At 44.4% G+C, this 20558-nt stretch overlaps 2 protein-coding genes across 15 annotated transcripts in view; one reads left to right on the top strand and one right to left on the bottom strand.

The window, feature by feature from the left end:
- COLGALT2 (collagen beta(1-O)galactosyltransferase 2) overlaps nucleotides 1-10469 on the top strand; it is a 108067-nt gene extending 97598 nt beyond the window's left edge. For 2 of the 3 annotated variants that reach the window (NM_001303421.2, NM_015101.4), the window contains exon 12: nucleotides 1094-4297. In NM_001303421.2, the coding sequence (NP_001290350.1) occupies nucleotides 1094-1370 (277 nt within the window). In that variant the 3' untranslated portion in view covers nucleotides 1371-4297. Of the gene's footprint in view, nucleotides 1-1093; nucleotides 4298-9841 lie in introns of those variants that run through there. The other variant, NM_001303420.2, reaches the window with a different exon arrangement.
- Nucleotides 10470-11598: 1129 nt separating this feature from the next.
- The window catches only part of RGL1 (ral guanine nucleotide dissociation stimulator like 1), a 292424-nt gene continuing 283464 nt past the window's right edge, over nucleotides 11599-20558 (bottom strand). For all 12 annotated transcript variants that reach the window (XM_011509339.4, XM_047415682.1, NM_001297669.3 and 9 more), the window contains 2 exons: nucleotides 17795-17909; nucleotides 11599-14026 (listed from right to left, as the gene is read on the bottom strand). In XM_011509339.4, coding sequence (XP_011507641.1) covers nucleotides 13839-14026; nucleotides 17795-17909 — 303 coding nt within the window. In that variant the 3' untranslated portion in view covers nucleotides 11599-13838. The remainder of the gene's footprint in view (nucleotides 14027-17794; nucleotides 17910-20558) is intronic.

Raw genomic sequence — 20558 nt, 5'->3', positions numbered from 1 at the left:
TGATATATTGTGATTCCTGCAATCGCAGGGGTGTGTAAGAGGTTCAGGGAGTGTGGACCTGATACCTGAGCATGATGTCCATGGAAGAAGGGCAGTGTGATGCTTGGGGCTCCCATAGCCCAGGAGCTTACCCTGACCTAGCGCTTATCAAAAGGTGTGGCAATTAATGATTTACCTGTCAATCTCCCCAATAAACTATAAACCCTTTGGGGCAGTAACAGTCTTATGCCTCTGTGTCCTTAGAGCCTAGTCCAAATGCTACACATAACAGCAGCTCCTAAATCATTAATGAATGATTCCTAAATTCATTGATGGAGCAGCATTCGTTCTAACCTTGGCCCCTTCTCTCAGTTGCTGGGTGATCTCGTCACTAGATGGTCTCATTTTAGCTGTTGAGATTTCCTGTGCTGCCACCAGTTCATTTTGTCTCTTGTCCTCAGTAAAAATGGAGTTGTGTGCCCTCTTGTATATAACATGTCAGAGACTGACTTTATCTCTGTGTCCTAGCAGAAACATGGAGGTCAAACCATTATCCCCTAAACAAAAGGGAAATTACTACATTCAGATGTCACCTCATGTACTCTGCACAGGAGCCCTGAGAGGGAGGCCAAGTCATCCGTCTCCTTTACACCTGTTGGAACCGGAGTGGTGAGCAGGGAGCTAGAGCACAAAGCCAAGCCTGCGTGCCTCTAAGCCTCCACGTGCCACATGCCCCATCACTGCTGTCCAGATGTGAGGTGTCTCATTTATTAATCCCAAAGCAGGGCATTTTTGGTGAAGTGATCGTATTTATTTATCATTATGGTCTAACAGGGCTTACTTTTTAACTTTTGGAGTCAGACCTGAAATTCATCTTTTAAACTAGTCTATTCAAATACGTCAGAAATGTCCTGATCTTTTTGCTTGGGAGCTTGTCTTTGGAAAGCTTTTAAAGAAATATTTGTGTTTGTAGGCTAAAGTTTTTCACAAATGACACAATTGAAATAATGAAATGAACTCATGAGGTAACCAGGAGGCCTCCTTCACTCTTTGTCCCTGTTCCGTAAGTCTCCTTTCCGCCCCCTCATGTGTCCGGCCACCTTCTTGTTTTCAGAGCCGAGTACAAGGAGTATTATGAATCCAGGGACCTGAAAGCCTTCTCTGCAGAACCCTTGCTCATCTACCCTACGCACTACACAGGCCAGCCGGGGTACCTGAGTGACACGGAGACCTCCACCATCTGGGACAATGAGACAGTGGCCACCGACTGGGATAGGACACATGCCTGGAAGTCCCGGAAGCAAAGCCGCATCTACAGCAATGCCAAGAACACAGAGGCCCTGCCACCGCCAACCTCCCTGGACACTGTGCCTTCAAGGGATGAGCTATGAAGGCTCCCTGGGAGTGTGGCCCACATCAGTTCAACATCCTCTGGTTTTTCTAAAGGGCTATTCATCTGTTTGCTCCAGTTTTCTGTTTTGTTTTGTTCTTAGTGGTCACAGTCATCTAACCAAAGTGATCTAGTGTGATAGATCGAAATTAACATATTTTTGACCATGGAAGGAAATAAGGAAATTCAACCCAAATTTCCCAAGACGGCTGAAAGACAGGTTTTTTGGAAACTGTTAAGATAAACTGTAATCCAGACACCTAATTCTTCAGTTCACTACTCATGTGATACTGATTCCCACATTAAGGTTGAACAACATGGCTCAGAGTCTTGTTCAAGAGAAAGTGATCACCGAGCTGTCACATCAGCAAATATGTAGTCAAGGCAGCCAGGCCAACTAGACCACACTTATTGGTCTAGTTTGTCCGTTTTATATGACATTGAAAACTTGTGTGTGCAACTTTTGGGGGACAGGAATCACTTAAAATCATATTTATTTGGCTTTTTATTTAAAGGATTCTGTCACAAGTCTTATTGAAAAGTAGATTTTTTAAAAAAAAAAAATCTTAGTCCCTGTTATCCAGTAGGGGTGGGTATTTGGGTCCGACTGAGACTTGGCCTGTGACCATCATGGCAGTTGGAGTTCTCATATAGAGGTGACCAGTTTGCCATGTGGATATAATTTAGTAGATATTTGACAGTTTGTGTAGGTATTTGAGGGAAAAAACTCAATGTTTGGCTTTTTTATTATGGCCACTCGAGTCAGGATGCTCTATTTATAAAGATAAATGTAATATATAAAGGGTGAGGACTGGCTGTGCATCCTGCCCTGTCCCGGGTTTGCGCGCTGCTACAGAGCTTCACGCTCTCCGCTCCACCCCTTAGCCTGGGAACCCACCGCAGGTGTGAGTTCTGTGAGTCACTGCTAAGAGACAGAGCACATTTTCAGGCCAGCAACTATCCTTGCCAGAGTTTTTTCATTATATTTTGAATTATTTATTTTACAAAATGGGCGAAGATATTGTCTTTAGGATAAGGCAGAGAAACAGATGTTGCAGACTTCCACGGCACCCGGGGGAGTGGTGGGTGTGGACACATTGGTTCGGCAATCTGATTCTCCTGAATTTCCCAGCCAGGCTCTTGTGGGGAGGCCTGTGGATGGGGGGATTTGAACTATTTGGAAACAAATGATTCTCTATCTCAGGTGAGAAACCTGGTCAGAAACAAAGGGCTGGTCACCTGATTTAGGCCAGCAACCAGGGAAGCTCTTAGAATCCCAGGCGGACACCCTTTCTCAAAAGATATCCCCTAAGAGTCCTTTCTGCTTTCTTCACAGATTGATTTTATGTAAAATGCAGAGTTGGACTACACGATTTCTTCCCACTCCACAATCTGTCATCCTAGTATAGATCATGGTGGTTTCCCTCAAGTTTATGTTCTCATGCCCTCAATCTGTAAATTTTTGTCTCCAGAAAAACCCTCCCAGGCATCCCATACCAGCACCGTTCCTCATCACTGTCCATGCACCATGCAGCCATATGGGGGGCCGTGCACACCCCAAACCCTGAGCTTCACACTTAAACTCATGGGGAGGGCCCTTCAGAGCAGAGTCCACAGGCGGGTGGTGCTACATACACAAGCTTAGTGTACGAGTGTAAGATACACTTTAAGCCAGACACCTAATTCTTCAGTTCACTGCCCATGTGATACTGATTGCCACATTAAGGTTGAACAGCATGGCTCAGAGTCTAGAGAAAGTGATCACCAAGCTGTCTCATCACCAAATAGGTAGTCAAGGCAGCCTCATCTCCCCAGGTGAGGGGCGGGTCCCCACTTTAGGACAAGAGGCAGCTTGCCTTCCACCAGACGCCAGCCTCGGCCTTCCTTCCCGACTCACTGTGGGTACCCTTCTACACTGACCAGCAAGCTAGGCCGCTGGAGGAAAGGGAACTCACCCAACTCTAAATTGTGCCGCTTAGACTTAGCTGTCAGTGTGACTTCCTTTCCCACCCACCCCCAGAAAAACAGAAAGAGCATCTGGGGAGCGAGTGAAAATTCCTTAGGTGATTCCTAAGATTTCCTTGGGTATCTGGTTTTTGTTTTCATATTTGAGTGTGTGCATGTGTGCATGACTTTAATGACTTTTTTAATGGGGTGGGAGGTGGCTGGGGTGCTGGGGTTGAAGGAAGTTTGGGTTGATTTTTGTGGTGTTTTGTTTAATAGAGAATTTTTTTTTTCCTGTTCCCCTGTCAGCTGGTCTGACAGATTTAAGAACTCTCATTCTTAAAAGACTTTGGACTTAAATTCTAGCATTTTAGACTAGGACTGTTCTACTGTGAAGAAAGTTCTGTCTCCTTTAGCCCGGTTTGTTTCTCCCTGCTCAGGTCTAGAATCCCAAGCAGTGTTCTTTTCTGGTGAACACTGTGAGCCGCAGATGTGACTTTTTTTTTAAAGTCATCTCTTCAGCAATCCAGAGGTTCCTTGACCTCATTATTTGTCCTATCTCTCCCTTATAGTCCTAAGCCAAGACATTTGACCTTTGACATTTGACCTTTGCAGTGTCATGTGAGGGCGTCAGTATAGAGGCCTTTGCATCTGGGCCTGGCACCCGCTCTCTGCCTCTGGAGGCTAAACCCTGTCTGGATTTCTCTTGGGATCTAACGTGGGATCTTCTGGACAGACAACCGTGACATCAGCAGTGCTGGTGCTGCTGTGTGTGGACTGAACACCTGCACTTTGCAGAGGACACGCTGCATGGGCCCCGCTTGCGGTTCATTCAGGCCTGCTGCAGGAGCTCTGAGAACAAGAAAGAGTGGACACCCGTTCCCCTGCATCATCTGTCTTGCGTGCTATTTCAGAGTGGGGAAGTGATAAACTATTTGCCTTCTGGAGCTCTTTGTGAAAAATTAAAAAAAAACTTAGCTCAAAGATATGATTGTCAATTGCTTCCGCAGGCACTGATCAATGGCCAACGCTGCAGAGATTACCAGGTCTGCCCTTGACCAAGGATGTCAGAGTCAGGGGGAACCATCACTGCTGTGTGATCCCCATGGCAAATGAGGGGAGGGTGGTTGCTGCCCTTACTGTGCAGTGAGGGTTGTTTTAAACTGATGGGTACTGTTATGTAAGCTGAAAAGGATTCCAAGGTACAGAAAGATGGAAGAGAGCCCCCACTGGGAGGGAGTGGAGGTGTCCATCTTGCATTTTGTGCTACAGGTCAGCCTATCCGTTCATCAAAAGATACTGAGATACTGTGATACCAGTCCAAGGCCAAAGAGCTTTTTCCTGGGGAAAAATAACAGCAGCAACAAAAAGAAAATCCTTGTTGATCTCAGTGACTGCTTGAATTTTTAGATCAAGCTTACCCCTAATCTCAAAAACCAGGCTGTGAACACTGCCTTGCTGCAGGCTTTGTGCTGGGCACTGAGATGCTCAGAGAAGTAGGTAAGGTCCCTACTGCTGTGTGGGGCCCGCAGTCCAATGGAGGAGCAACATAAAGCAGGTGGCTGCCAAACAGGATGGTTTTATTTCAGAGATGAACAAAATGGGCAGAGGAGGACTGTCAGGGCAGCTCTGCTGAGAAGGTGACATTTGGGTTGGGTTTTGGAGGATGAATTGGAGTTCAGAAGAGGGAGGAGGGCTGGGCACAGTGGGTGGAGATGCTGTCCAGGCATTGCCTGACAGGACTATGAAAGGGCCAAAGTGGGATTCATGGGAACTCAGTAGGGCAGAAGAGTTAGGCATGTGTTGGGGTTGATAACAAACAAGACTGAGACACAATCATGCTGGCAAGGCAAGTTGGCTGCCTCCCTCTCAGGGCTGTCTCCTTCTCAGGGCTGTCTCATCATAAGCACAGAGCCCAGCATTTCTGGGAGAATTCTAAGTTTGGTTACCATCTTGACAGATAATACAGAGGCTTCCAGTAAAATGTTGATGTCCAAAACAAGAAATATTCCCACTCAGCTACAAATTTGGGAATCTTATGGTTTTTCCCTTATGATTGGAGCAAATCCCTCCCGCTAGTAACTATAAAATAAAGATGTGTCTTCCCAGGAGGCTTTCTATAACGTGCTTTTGAGACATTCTTGCCAACTAAACAGAGGAAAGAAATGATCCAGAAGTGATCTCCCTGACAGAAGTTAATTCACTAAGGAGTTAAATAATGACAAAGTAAAGTTAAAATGAGGCTGGCTATATGAGAAGAAAATAGCATGTAAGGGGTGACACGTTCTGAAAACTAAGAGTAGACAGCTTTGGAAATGTCACGCCCACATGATGTTTTGTGGTGATGTTTATTATTTCAGGGGAACCGGCTGTCCTTCAATTAAATGCAGCTGAGGGAGGAAGGCCAGCAGGAGAGGAGGGGCATATGAGGGGCTTCCCTGTGAGCCCGCGGCCCTAAGTCAGTGTAGGGCAGCTGAGACAAGAACCAAAGTGTGGACAATGTCCTTTTGTACCTGCTTGGAGAAGAGAGAAGTAATGATGGTAGATTTTAGTACATTATATTACAAAAGATTACGTGAAAAATGGTGCTCCCTCTTATCCCAGGGACAGAGCAAGAGGAGTTTAGGTGAGCTTTCAGGAAGAATTCATTGACAGAATTGTCAGACACTGAATGGGGTTCCAAGGTAAGTGGTGGAATGGCTCCATTAAACTTTGTTGCTGGGCAGAAGAGTGGCTTCCTTTCTGCTCTGTGAATTACTGAAATGCCCTAGTATTTTGCTTCCACCCATGGATGTGCTAATATGTGAGCTGATCTTTGTTCAGTAGCCTCTGTGACACCAGCTGTGTTGCTTCCAATCCAAAGCCATCCATCCTCCCATCTGCCCTCAAAAAGAGTGGAAAGAATGAAGAATCGTCTCTGAGGATTGCCTTCTCTTTATTTTTAATTTATGGAGTTTGTTTTTATGCCCGTCCCTGTAATTCTCCAGCCTGGCTTCTCTGGAACAGGTGCTTTAGTAAACTTACCATGTCTGAGCAATCCTAGGGCCCACAGAGCACTAGCTCTGCCCCCATGGACCTGGCAAGGCTTTGATGGGGGTTTCCTATTCCACGGGTGGCTGGGTGGATGTCTGGGCTCTTACTAGTGGGGGAATTTGATTTTCAAAGTGGAGTGGGCAGCTCTCTCTCTCTCTCTGTTCTTAGATGCTTGGAAATTAATCAGCGACAGTTTCTTCTCCCAAAAGGAAATGAGAAGTTTGGAACAGACCCCCAGACAGGAGTTCAGTTGTCCAGGCATTTTGATGGTGTGGCCTGAAGGGCTTTAACTGCTTTTAAAAATTGCTAGCATAAATTGTGAAGACTTGAAGGGGATGATATTGTTGCTCAGGCCTAGCTCAGGGGAGGAAACCATGAGCAGAGTTGAGTGCAAGGGACAGAGTGGTGCAAGCCTGTTGAGAATCCGAGGGGAGAGGAAAGAGGCAGCTTCTAGCGCACCACACACGGAGCAAAGTCCTGGTGCTCAGAGCACAGTCTGGGAGAGAAGTGCAAGGAGTGGGGAGAAGAGACTAATGCAAGCCCATCGCTGGAGACAGTGATGCCAGTGCACAGGCCAAGAAAGAGGAGAGGGAACCAATGGGGAAAATAGTGTGGTAGGAGGGAGGCTTCAAATGGAAGTGGTGACAGCCTTGTCCTTAGAGTTTTATCCTTTTAAGTCTGCAACTATGGGAGAGATTGAGTTGGTGTTGAGTTGAACCGCTTGCACAGGAACAAGTGAAATGTCCAGTGCCCCCAATGCTTGGGGAAGAGCAATAACTCACAATCAAGCATCTCCATTGTCCCTGGACAGGGCCTCTGGAACCAGAGTCGAGAACCCCTTCCTGTAGGAAAGACACAGGGACTGTGGACAGACACAGAAGGGGGTACCCAGGAGCAGGGAGCAGAGTTTCTGGTGAGAAAAATCCACCCAAGGAGGTGGGGACTCATGGGAATCGCTGCCAGCTCTGTGTGGTGGCCGATCTCTCAGGCCCTGAGAGGGACACTCCGGCCCAGGGCTGCTTGACATCAGCCAGCCTCTCCTGTCACAGCCCGTCCAGCGAGAGTGCCCACTGCAAAGCCTGCAGGCTGGCCAGGGAGGCTGCGCCGGGCCCACATCCCCGTCTCTGTGAGCCTTTTTGGACCCCAGCCGTGGAACAAGCTGCAGGAGCCCTGGACGCCCTCCAGCTCCGTGAGTCAGTCTCTCCCCAGAGCAGCAAGCAGGCTTAGCTTTTCGCAGGGTGCCGTTCCACACGTGGAAGCCCCACCTCTAAGAGTTTCACGTCTGGACCATTTGGCTCCTCCCGGGAGGAGGTTGGAGGGCTTCTTTGAAGACATGACTTCCCTTAGGCCAGAAGCTTCCCAGGAATAACAGCAACTAACTCTTGTATCATGCACCAAAGTGAACCGCACTTTCCCTACGTGTGCTGTGTAGTTTAATACAGCATGAACCTCAAGAAGTAGGAACTATTCATTAATCTCTATCTTTCAGATAAGGCAAAGAGCTAAGGGAAGCAACTTGCCTAAGGTAGTAAGTGGCCTGGGAGTCAGACCGAGGCAGTCAGATCTCACCAAACTGCATCCACTTCCAAGCTGCTGGGGGATAATGTGTCTCATTTCTTGTTTTCTCAGTAAAATTTAATGTTTTAATCTCTCACTCTTGCACTCTGTCTCACCACACACACACACAGCCTGATACATAAAGCTGGCACTTCTAACCCATGTCTGTCTCCCCTGTGAAACCTCATATACTGATTATTCAGCTGGTCATACTGCAAACTCTCAGATAACATATTTCTGCAGACTTGGATGTTAGATACTGAATAAATGAGGATCAGAAATCGATGTCAAAGGGCAAGCTAACAGTCTCATTTAGAATGCTTCTCCCATTTCAAAACTGGTGCCTTGATTTTTTTTTTTTTTTTTTATGGCAGGAACAATTCAGAAACAGCTTAAATCATTCAGTCTTCTTCTTCTTTTTTTTTTTTTTTAACTTGCTGCATTGGTAACCCTTTTCATTCTTGTGTAAGAAATTGGAACTGTAGCACATAATGATGCTTTGGTATGAAATAATGGTAGGAATAAAAATGATTTCTTCTGAGAAGCCTGTGTTAAAGCACTTGGATACTGATAACTGGCTTACAGGGAGGCTGATCCAGGTGGTCTTAAAACTGGCTCTCCTGAACGCCACTCAAGCCCCAGTCCCATCTGCTCCTCCTTTGTTAACTCCTGTCAGTTGATGCCTCTCCTAGGAGTTTCTCCCGCTGCAGGCACCCCCGGGGAACACCCGAGACTACAGATCAGAAATGGATTCCAATCCAGCTGGGGTGCTAACTCACAATAATCATCTTTTTGGCCATTTCCTCATCTGTGGGATGGAAATGATGCTCAGGATAGTAGGTGGCAGTGCTCTGACCCTCAGTAGAATGTTCCTCAGACACTTCAAAGAACCAACCAGGTGCCCAGCTGACCGAGATAGTTTGTGGGAATTCATGTGACTGGAAGGCTGGGGATGGAGCCCACAGATCCCAGGGATTCTCTCCAGTTCCGTGAGGCTGTGGAAGTGTCTGTCAGGAGAGCCTCCTCCATTCAGTGCCTGGCCCAGTGTGATATGCTCAGAGTGGGGTTTGATGATCCAGAGCTCTGTCCCTAAAACTTGGGCAACTTAACTGTTCTGTGTCTCAGCCTCATATCTATAATACGAGGCCACTGACTACATGATTTGTAAGGTGCCTTCAAACTCTTAAGAAAACATTACATACATTGGATTCCTTGAAATTTTAAGTAAGAAACTTGCTTCCACAAAGGTTTCTGGGTAGAGATGTTGAGAAACCACACCCAATAATGGTTGCCAAATTGTGAGTCTAAAATAATTAAATTTGCCTGGCTCCTATTTGATCTGTTGGGTTTTGTGTAAATACTTTACATTTCCTAGGTTTCTTTTTTTAACCTGACTTACAACTACATCTGTAAAGTAGCTCCTAGTGTCATCAAAGTAGGAACCACATCAGAAGAAAATAAATTGTTGGTGAGTGACTGTATGTTAAAAATTAAAAATAAATTAGATTGGCTGGGCGTGGTGGCTCATGCCTGTAATCCCAGCACTTTGGGAGGCCAAGGCAGGCAGATCGCTTTGAGCTCAGGAGTTTGAGACCAGCCTGGGAATCATGGCAAGACCCTATCTGTATAAAAAATACAAAAAAAAAAAAAAAAAAAAAGAAAAAGAAAAAATTAGCAGGGCATTGGTGGCTTGCGGATGTAGTCCCAGCTACTCATGAGGCTGAGGTTGGAGAATCGCTTGAGCCCAGGAAGCGGAGTCTGCAGTGAGCTGAGGTTGCGCCACTCCAGCCTGGGTGACAGAGTGAGACCCTGTCCAAAAAATAAAATTAAATTAAAAAATAAGATCAAGGCTAGTTCTAGACAAAATTAAATTGTTCTTTCTAGTATTTTCTCCTTTCAGCATCTCTCTTTCTTCAACTCTTCCTCTGTTCTGTGCAGCCTCCTCTCAAGTCCTCACTGCCATCTCTTCCAAACACTTTCTGATGACTGCCAACGGTGAACAAACCCGTGCACCCTAGGAGAAGGCATTACCCCTCTGTGGCAGAGGTGGTCGTGTTCATCAACTCCTCCAGGTTTCTCCTGCATTTCCCACCTCCCCTGTACTCACATCGGGCCCGGGGACTGGTTGATGGGCTGTGAACAGAAGTGACAGGTGTCGCTTTGGTCTAAGGCAGTTGGGAACAGTTTGTGAGTTCTCTTTACTCTCTTTATCATCACTGTGACTGGAAGGGAAACACCGAGATGGCGAAGTTGCAAGATGGAAGCTGCCTGGATCTGTGAGCTGCTGTTAGAGAAAAGCTACTAAGGAGTTTCCTGGCTTGCATTACACTGTCCCGTGAAAGAAAAAATAAACCTCGGTCTTAAGCTGTTGAAATTTCTTGGTTTGTTACTTCGGTCCAGCCTAGCCTAGCCTAACACATCCCTTCCAAAGGTATTTAATTTTAAGAGAGATGTCTAGGGGGAAAAGCAATGCAAAATGCAATGGAAATAACTTTGCCTAGTGGAAATGTAGGCATCTGAAGAAAAAGAGGTTTGAGTCAGGAACCTCCTCAGTCCCCCTGAAATCAGGACACGTAAAGCAGTATTGTATGCCTCCTAATGATCCTGCGCTGCAGGGAGAATTTACAAACGTTCCAAAGAAGACAAGTTTAAGACATTATTCCTTCAGGCAGACTGTCCCCAGGCCCAGTTTCTAGAAAAAGGCAAAACAAGGGAAACAGGCTTTTAGAATGATCTTGAAAAAACAAGTACCAAAGACAAAATTCCCTTTTTTTTCTGCCCTACCCCATATTATCAATTTCCTATTATTAAAATTTCTACTTGGCTTCCTCTAAAAATTCCACAAGGGCACAGAACATTTGATAATTTGGATCCATTTAGAAATCTACTAGAAAATAATCCTGGGAACTTTTTAACAGTATGATAAATGACAATACTGTGCATCTGTCCAGTGAAGCTGGCCTCAGACGTAATGCCTTTGGGGAAACTGCATGGATCAGTTTAAAAGGATTTCAAGTGTAATTCTTTCGGGAATGCCTTTCCTCCCTCCATGGAGGTCCCCCTGGCTTCCAAGGCACCATGGGCGGTTTCAAGAATTATGCAGGTGGTATCCATCACAAAATGCGGGGAAAGGCTCTCAGAAAGGTGACAAAATGCTAACTTGGACCCTCACTCTAAGTTGGATTATTAAGTGTCCCCATGCCGGGTGCGGTGGTTCATGCCTGTAATCCCAGCACTTTGGGACGCTGAGGTGGGCAGATCATCTGAGGTCAGGAGCTCAAGACCAGCATGACCAACATGGTGAAACCCCACCTCTACTAAAAATACAAAAATCAGCTGGGTGTGGTGGCTCACGCCCGTAATACCAGCTACTCAGGAGACTGAGGCAGAATTGCTTGAACTGGTGCAGCGGAGATTGCAGTGAGCTGAGATCGCACCACTGCACTCCAGTCTGGGCGACAGAGTGAGACTCCATCCCTAAGAACAGCAATCTAGCAACGGCATCATCTCTGACTGCAGTCTCCTAAGGAAGTCATTCTTTCCCCCAAAGGCTTGTGACACTTGCCAGTGGGGAGGATCCCACCTAACTCTGCCACTGGCTTTCCCTGTGCTCCTCCAACCAATTCAGCGGGCTTCCCAAAAGCTTACTGACACACTGGAACCCAAAACCCACCTGGTTAATAATCCAGATACAATCCCTTTGGGTCTGGCAGCACATGCCAGCCAAGTCCCAAACTAGTTTATTAGTTTAACCAAAAGGTAAACAGATGATGGAGATGCAGAAAGACAAGCATGCGAGCAGCTAAAAGCATTACCCGGCTGTCCACCAGGAAACAAATTTAAGACATTTAAAGTGGCATTAAATAAATGAAGCTAAGTTTTAGCTACTTGGAATTTCCATTGTCTTTAAAAAAGGTAAATATATATATATTTTACATTGCAGTATATAAATCTAGACTCTACATATACAGTATAAATACACAGGATGAACACGGGCACAACATATATGTCTTGGTGGTCACGCCCTCAACCAGGCCAATGGTTTTATTTATTTTTTTTTTTTTACCTTCGCACCAAGAATATCAGGCTGAGGCTACATATACTTCAACCTGCATGAGGGCTGCCACCCTGGCCATCTCTCCTACAAGCACAGAAGCACAAATCGAACAGGGATTGAAAACAGAAGAAAGTGCTTTTTGACTAGTTGAAACCCAGTCAGTCTTTACAATGTGTAGTCCAATCTCCTGGAAAGACCAAAGGAAATTGGAGGACTTCCTGGCCCGTTCTTCGGTCCATTGCCGCAAATCTCTAAACTTTCCCTGGTGCTTCTTGTGGAATTCACATGGCTATTTATGCAACGCAAATCCCACACAACTTTTAGGAGCTGTATTATGGGATTAAGAAAAAAAAATAGCTCCATGTTACAATCTGCACTTCATATTCCGGGTTTGTTCTCTAAATTTTTGGAATAAAAACTGGTATTTTGAGAATCATTTCTTAAAAAGGACAACATTCTGAAAGTGCTTCTTACACATGTCAATATTCCACATATGGCTTTTAGTTCAAACCCCAGCACAGCTCAGACTTGGAAGGAAGAGTGTGATGGTGTTATGAGAGACAAAAGTGTCACTTAACAATGATACTGTGATAGCAAGCACGGGAACCTGGAAAAAAAAAAGTTATTGATTCCATCTGGAAGAATGTACCTCTTAGACAAATGATTCAGATAATCTATACAGCCCCATCTCTTTCCCCACGACTAGGCACAGTAATGCTATAAAAGTAAGTAAAATAGGATGCTGTTATCAGCAGGGAACATCTTCTGAGGGGCTATTAACGGGACAATCACTGTTCAGAAATCTTTCACAAGCTCAAAATAATCAAACGTAGTCAATTGCAGTAGAAATTTCCACACCTGAGGAATAAATTGCACATAATAAAGAGGTACTAAGATCCAGATGGCAAAAGACTCCAGACACATAGTTTTACATGCAAAAGGCAATCAGAGAAGGCAATGAAGCAGTGACATTCCAAGACAGATAAGAGTCCAAATGAGTCACCATTCTTTTGCGCTTTCTTTTCTGGCTTCATTACCAAAGAACATGGTTATTTGTGCAATGATTATGATATGTTCTTTAGGGGGAAAACGGAAATACACGGGGTTGCCAGAAACTGAAATGAGCTTGTTTCAGGAGCTTGACACCTCCAGAGGTGTCATGATGGCTAGACCAGTGGGGCGATGGTCCTCCGAAGCTCCTCCTGGCCTCCCTAGGGTAGCAGAAAGTGGCAGATGCAGGCAGAGGTTGAAGGCCACCAGCTCATCCAAACCCTTTCCAAAGTGGCCTTTCATACAGCCTGTGGCAGTTCCAGCCTCTGCAGTTGTTTTTATCTGGTGGCACTTGATTGAGAAAGTCATCCTCTCCCTTTATAAAAATAAAGTTTGGGCTTCTTGTAATACTGGCACAAAGGACACTCTCTATTCCCAGGACTGATTCCATTTACTCAGAATATACGAGACTAGGTTCTCAGTTTCTTCTATTTCCCTGTAAAAAGTGACCTCAACTTCCCAGGCCATTGTGCAAATTTGTTTTTCCATAGTCCATACTATCCCATAAAGTCCCTCTTATATATTTTTATATAGATACACATGCATACCAAATACATGTGCATATATATGTTTTAAATGTTGGTAATTCTGCATTTTAGTCTCAAATGAGTCAAAGAGAATCAGTGAATCGTTCATCCTTTTCATGTCAAATTCATTTCCAGTTTCCCCACGGTGCCTATCATAATGCTTTGCACACCACAGGAACTCAATAAATATCTGCTGACTTCACCAATGATCCTCGAACACCGGATGGTAATTGCAATCACCGCAGCCTGTTTCTCAGCCCCACTCTGCCTTTGGCAAACAAGGGGCCACTGGTCCCTCCCTTCAGAGGGTGATTTTGCTGTGTCTGTTACTCCAGCAGCCCCGTTTAGCTGTCCTGGGCAACGTCAAGCTGGTCCGGCTACGCAGTTTCACTTGTTCTTCCATGGAGTTCTTTTTGCGCAAAATGAAGTCAAAGTTCACTTGGCTGTTCATGGCATAAAAGACATTTGCTGAGTCTGGAATCACAAGTTCTGAAAAAGATAAGGAAAGATAAGATGGTCAGCTTGTGGAGGTCAGCTCAGTACTGACAACGGCAGCTGTAAACCTTGCCCAGACACAAGAACGGGACTACGGCCCTTCATCTCTGGAATGTGACCTGAACCAGACAGTGATCACCATCACTACCCCAAAAATTGGCCCCAGCTTCTCAATCCCAATTTAAAAAATTAGTACAAATGAGATTTTAGAAATTCGCTCCATGAATTAAATGTTCCAATAGAAAATGTTAAAACTAGAAAAAAAGTACAGTAGGAAACAGAGGCCAAGAAAAGTTAAAGAAAATTCCCAAGATGGCAGCTAGTGAATAGCAGAACTGGGATTTGAACTCGGGTTTCGTTTCTCCTGCAGTCCATTTTCCACCCCAGTATGCAGATTTTCTCAAAGACTAAGAGAATCCAATGACATAGAAAAAACAGAAAATCTACAGCACTCCAGAATTCTACTTGAAATATTGAAATATTTTTTGAAGTAATCCCGTCAAACGAGTATTTTATTTCCCATGTAGGAAAGTATGTATATTTTTTTAAAAAAATTTTACTTTAAGTTTTGGGATACATGTGCTGAACGTGCATATCTTTATTTTATAGTATTTTACTTTAAGTTCTGGGATACATGTGCAGAATGTTCAGGTTTGTTACATAGGTATACATGTGCTGCACCTATCAATCTGTCATCTAGGTTTTAAGTCCTGCATGCATTAGATATTTGTCCTAATGCTCTCCCTCCCCTTTTCCCCAACCCCCTGACAGGCCCCAGTGTGTGATGCTCCCCTTCCTGGGTATCTGTCTGCTAATATGAATTTGGGTATTGTATTTGTTGAGAGAAGGAAACAGGCTGGTAGAAAACTCCTCTGTACCTTGTCACTTCACAGACAGTGACTGTCAGGATAGGTCTCTTCTCCAAGTGCAGAAGGAGCAGCAAATATTGCAGCAAATATCCCCTTCTTTTAATATTTAAACTATTTTCAATTTCAATGATTCCCAACTAGACATCTGTAATTTTTGAACAAGGATTGTTCCAAGTGTAATATGAAATCATCAAAGCAAAGTTATTTTGACTCAGTTTTATTTTATTTATTTAAGTTATTTATTTATTATTATTATATTTTTTGAGATGGAGTTTTGCTCTTGTTGCCCAGGCTGCAGTGCAGTGGCACAATGTCAGCTCACTGCAACCTCTGCCTCCCAGGGTCAAGTGATTCTCCTGTCTCAGCCCCCCAAGTAGCTGGGATTACAGGCGTGTGCCACCACCCCCGGCTAATTTTTTTTTTTTTTTTTGTATTTTTTTGTATTTTTAGTAGAGGCGGGTTTCACCAGGTTGGCCAGGCTGGTCTTGAACTCCTGACGTCAGATGATCTACCTGCCTCGGCCTCTCAAAGTGCTGGGATTACAGGCGTGAGCCACCATGCCCAGCCTCACTTTTATTTTTGTTTTTTAATTTTTATTTTATTTTTACTATACTTTAAGGTCTGGGGTACATGTGCAGAACGTGCAGGTTTGTTACACAGGTATATATGTGCCACGGTGGCTTGCTGCACCCATCAACCCGCCATCTACATTAGGTATTTCTCCTAATGCTATCCTTCCCCTAGTCTTCCACCCCCCAACAGGCCCCGGTGTGTGATATTCCCCTCCCTGTGTCCATGTGTTCTCATGTTCTCATTGTTCAACTCCCACTTATGAGTGAGAACATGCAGTGTTTGGTTTTTTGTTCCTGTGTTAGTTTGCTGAGAATGATGGTTTCCAGCTTCATCCATGTCCCTGCAAAGGACATGAACTCATCCTTTTTTATCACTGCATAGTATTCCATGGTGTATATGTGCCACATTTTCTTTATCCAGTCTATCATTGATGGGCATTTGCGTTGGTTCCAGGTTTTGCTATTGTGAATAGTGCTGCAATAAACATATGTGTGCATGTGTCTTTATAGCAGAATGATTTATAATCCTTTGGGTATACACCCAGTAATGGGATTGCTGGGTCAAATGGCATTTCTGGTTCTAGATCCTTGAGTAATCGCCACAAGAAGGTATACAGTATTTAGCACTCAAGTGTAATGAGTATTTGAAAAAACAAACAGAATTAAAAAAGGTAAAATGTGCAAGTCTAGCTCTGTGGTAGTGGGGTCGGGGAGGCAACCAGAGAGGCATATGGTTGTAAAACTGGACAAATTGAGTCTTAAGTTAACTTCAAACATTGATATCCAACAACAAGACTGATATGAGCAGGTTCCAAGTGACTCCTGTACATTCTGTGCACAAAGGCTCAGCGGAGAACAATCCCCTCAAAGTGTCCCATGCTGCTGCCCACATACTCACAGGTCAGTAATAATAGTCCTCACAGTTATATATCACTTAGTGTCTCCCCATGTTCAGGTACACGATTTCTTGTTATCTTCAGAATCGCCCTGTGATATATGAGGAACCAGCAGGGTATTGTCTCTAATTAAGGACCAAGGCCCGGGGGTCCAGCAGCTTGCATTTAGGACCACACAGCTGGTGGGCAACACTGGGTCCTGGCTACCCCTCGAGACTCCTGGACCTTTAGACCCACCAGCCTCACCTTAGTGCTGTGTTGTAAGCAAAATGGTACAACTTGAGACCATCTTTTAGGCTTAGAATTATAATTATAATTACATCAAAAGGTTATAACTGAGAAAGTGTTGCCCCACAGCCTAAGGCTCAGCTGAATGAATGAGAAATCTTCCAAGAGGAAACTGAAAAAGAATTTTCCCAGAGGCTGTAGCTTTTAATCTCTAGGAGAAGGTAGTATTCTAATTTCAGCCACTCTCCTCTAAACCAGCAATAGAGCCCTGGGTGACATGCTGATCCCATAGCCTAGCTTGTGGAATGCTTCTCACTTATAGGGGACACTGCTTGTTGGTGAGCAGAGGACTACTTAAGGTGGCTGCAATGGACAGTTTGGGGTCTGGCGGCAGAAAGGGTTGGCTTCGGTCAACAATATTTGCTGCTCCTTCTGCACTTGGAGAAGAGACCTATCCTGACAGTCACTGTCTGTGAAGTGACAAGGTACAGAGGAGTTTTCTACCAGCCTGTTTCCTTCTCTCAACAAATACAATCCCCAAATTCATATTAGCAGACAGATACATGCAAGGGTGATTATTTCCCCCAAAAAGTATTTCATAAAAGAGATTTCTTTAAATAATATGTTCCCAGGCATATTGAAGCCTTTCATAGATTACCAGTTCTTTGCCTCAATAAATGTGAGGTAAATAACCTTCAAGTTAGAGGTTTGTGTTATTTTAAAATTGATCATGAATAAAGAAAATACCTTTCATACATGATTAATTGAAATGATGAGAAATTATTACAGGAACCACTAAATTTCAGATTCACACACAACTTAGAAACACATTCTTGGGTAAAGGAGGTGTGTGGCCACCTGCAATGCCCAACAGACTCCCCTACCCTCTGCCTCCTGGCACAGGGAGACACTTCTTCCTAGAAAAGTGTTTGAAGAGCTCAGAAAGACTGGGCAGAAGAAATACTCATCAAAATCGCAGGAAAAACAAGAGCTGGGGAATCGGAGAGCGGTTTGAGATACTTAATTCCACAAGTGAGGTGATGGCACGGTTGTTCACCCTTGCACTATCAAAAACCACCACTAGGTCCCAATAAAACAATACGTATCCGTTTTCTGCCTTCTAAACGCGGAGCACTGTGGACATGTGCTAGCCACCTGCCCTGGGAAGGAACATGCCTGTCTCGGAAGGATGCCCACCTTTGTCCTCCGAGATGACCTGCACCAGCTCGTACTCCTCGGCGGGGTCTGAGTCCAGATTGTGCTTCAGCATGGCTCTCTGGATCACAGCGGGGGTTTTATCCTGGCTCGTCAACTGCAAAGACAATGAACAGGTTTGTAAAGTACTTAGCTTCACGTTTCCTGAGGGAGTTCTCCTGACCCTCTCATTCTTGCTGTCTTGTGTTGTGATGCCTTTCCAGAAAGAACGGACTCGTGGAATTGGAACTGGACCAAGAGCCAGGATCCCTGGTTTCTAGTCCTGGTTCTACCCTTAGCAGCCACAGATGATGGGCGAGTCACCTAATCTCTGAGTCACAGCGTCATCCGCTATTAAAATGGAGAGAACGCTTTCCTTGCCTATCTCCTCCACAGTGGTTGAAGTTCCCGTGAAAGAATATATATGAGGGAATTGTGAAAAATGCAAAGCATTATTAGTCCTGGCCCAAAATTATCCTCCCATGTTGAACTGCTTCTATGGCACTGGTTACAACCCACGGGATAAAAATGGTCGCAGTTCTGCCCATTGACCATTTCAAAAAGTACAGGTGACCCTGTGATTCAGCAGTCCCACTCCTAGGCATTTACCAAGCGGAATAAAAACATACGTCCACAAAAGGACTTGTACACAAACATTCATAGCAGATTTATTCACAATAGCTAAAAACTGAATCAATCTGAATCTCCATCAACAGGAAAAGAGAATAAATCGTAGTATATTCATAATAGAATCCTACTGAGCAACTGAAGGGAACTAAGAACTGGCACATGCAACAATGCAGGTGAATCTCACAAACATCATCTTAGGCAAAAGAAACCGGACACAAAAGATTACATACCAGTGGAGTCTATTCTTTCAAAAAAAGGAAAAACAAAATCTGTGGCATTAGAAAATGAACCTCTAGGTTAGGAGGGGATTGATTGGAAAGGGCACAGGGAATCTGGCAGGCAGGATGGAAATGTTCTTTATCTAGATTTGGGGTAGTAGTTTCATAGATATATATAGTTATTAAAACTCAAAGAATCAAACATTTAAGATCTGCATATGTAACTACATGCAAATTATGCTTCAATAAACATCAGCTTGTAAGTGTTTTAAAAGCACAAGTTAAAGGTTTCCCTCGTCCCCAATTCTGATGTTCTTCCCTTCACCTCACTGCCTGCCAGCCAACTATTTGCAGGGTGTGCAGAGCAACCTGAAAAGAAAGCTAAATTATGTACCATACCTTGGGTGATTTCTTTAAGTTTGAAAGAAGTGAATGAAAACTCAGATTATTCTTACTTAAAAATAAAAGCTGTTCTCACCAGGGGGCAAGAGGACTATAGAAAGAAAGCCCCCCACGACCCCCCTCGACACATACAGAAGTCTCATTTCCTCCCAGAAACTGCCATTGTGTGCCTGAGGATGGCAGTGCCAAGATGCCTCACTCTGATCTGGGGCAGCAGCTGGTGTTTGTGATTCCATAAACAATGTGCATTACAAAGGGGTCCTTGTAAGCAGCAAAGATCTTGTTCACGTGTCTGTTACCAAAACATCTGGCATATTCATTTACAAGGGAAAAGTAGGTGCACACAAAATTCTAAATGAGGAAAATATGTTTTTGATAGTATGAAGAAAATACTCCCAAAGCTGGGTCACACTGGACTAGTAGCAGAAAGCTAAAGGAGAAGACCTCCCTTCAGGGGATGCATGTCAGGCTAAGGTGGGTAAGTCATATGAGACAGCCAGGCTACCTTCATTCTCCTTTCCTTAAACTTCCCCAGGTATGTCCCAATGAAGACAAGATGACCAAGGGCTTTCCCTTGCGTGTTTATTACTTTGTACCATCAAAGCGATGCTGAATCAAACTTATGATTACAATGAGTATTCACAGCTCAAGCGTGCATCCTTATGCTGATAGACTGAATTAGCACTCATAGGTATCGAATGTGAGCCACATATTTCATTTTAAGTTTCTAGTAGCCACAATTAAAAAGTTTTTAGGACGGGTGAGGTGGCTCATGCCTGTAATCCCACCAACTTTGGGAGGCCGAGGCAGGTGGATCAGGAGGTCAGGAGCTTGAGACCATCCTGGCCAACATGGTGAAACCCCGTCTCTAATAAAAATACAAAAAAGTTAGCCAGGCGTGGTCGTGGGTGCCTGTAATCCCAGCTACTCAGGAGGCTGAGGCAGGAGAACCGCTTGAACCAGGGAGGCAGAGGTTGCAGTGAGCTGAGATCGTGCCATTGCAATCCAGCCCAGGCAACAGTGCAAGACTCTGCCTCAAAAAAAAAAAAAGTTTTTGAAAGGTGATATTTAACTTGAACACCCCAAATATTACATCAGCATATATAATCAATACAAAAATTGTTAATGCAGTATTTTACTTTTTTGTACTAAGTGTTCAAAATCTGGTATATATTTTACCCTCAGCTCATCTCAATTTGGAGTATTCCCATTTCAAATGCTCCATCGCCACCCGTGGCCAGTGGCTGCTGTACTGAATGCGCGGTACTGAACGATGCTTTGGTGTCGCCCTCATTGACTTTCCTGTGACAGAAATACTGCATTCCCTGTGTAAGGGATCTTGGGAGACTGACTCTGTGATTGACACAATGGAGAGAAAGATCATTTCGAAAGAGTGATGGGTTCAGTGGTAGAAGACATTTTTCCATGGTCACTGAGGAGGTAATTTTACAAGGGCTAATTGCTGTCTCTTCTTCTATGGAAGGGCCTTGGATTCCAGGGACATTAGTTGCTCTTGC

This window comes from Homo sapiens, chromosome 1, assembly GCF_000001405.40.
Source record: "Homo sapiens chromosome 1, GRCh38.p14 Primary Assembly".
Taxonomy (NCBI): Eukaryota; Metazoa; Chordata; class Mammalia; order Primates; family Hominidae; genus Homo; species Homo sapiens.
Note: the sequence above shows the minus strand (reverse complement) of the source record. Positions and strands in the feature narration are given on the sequence as shown.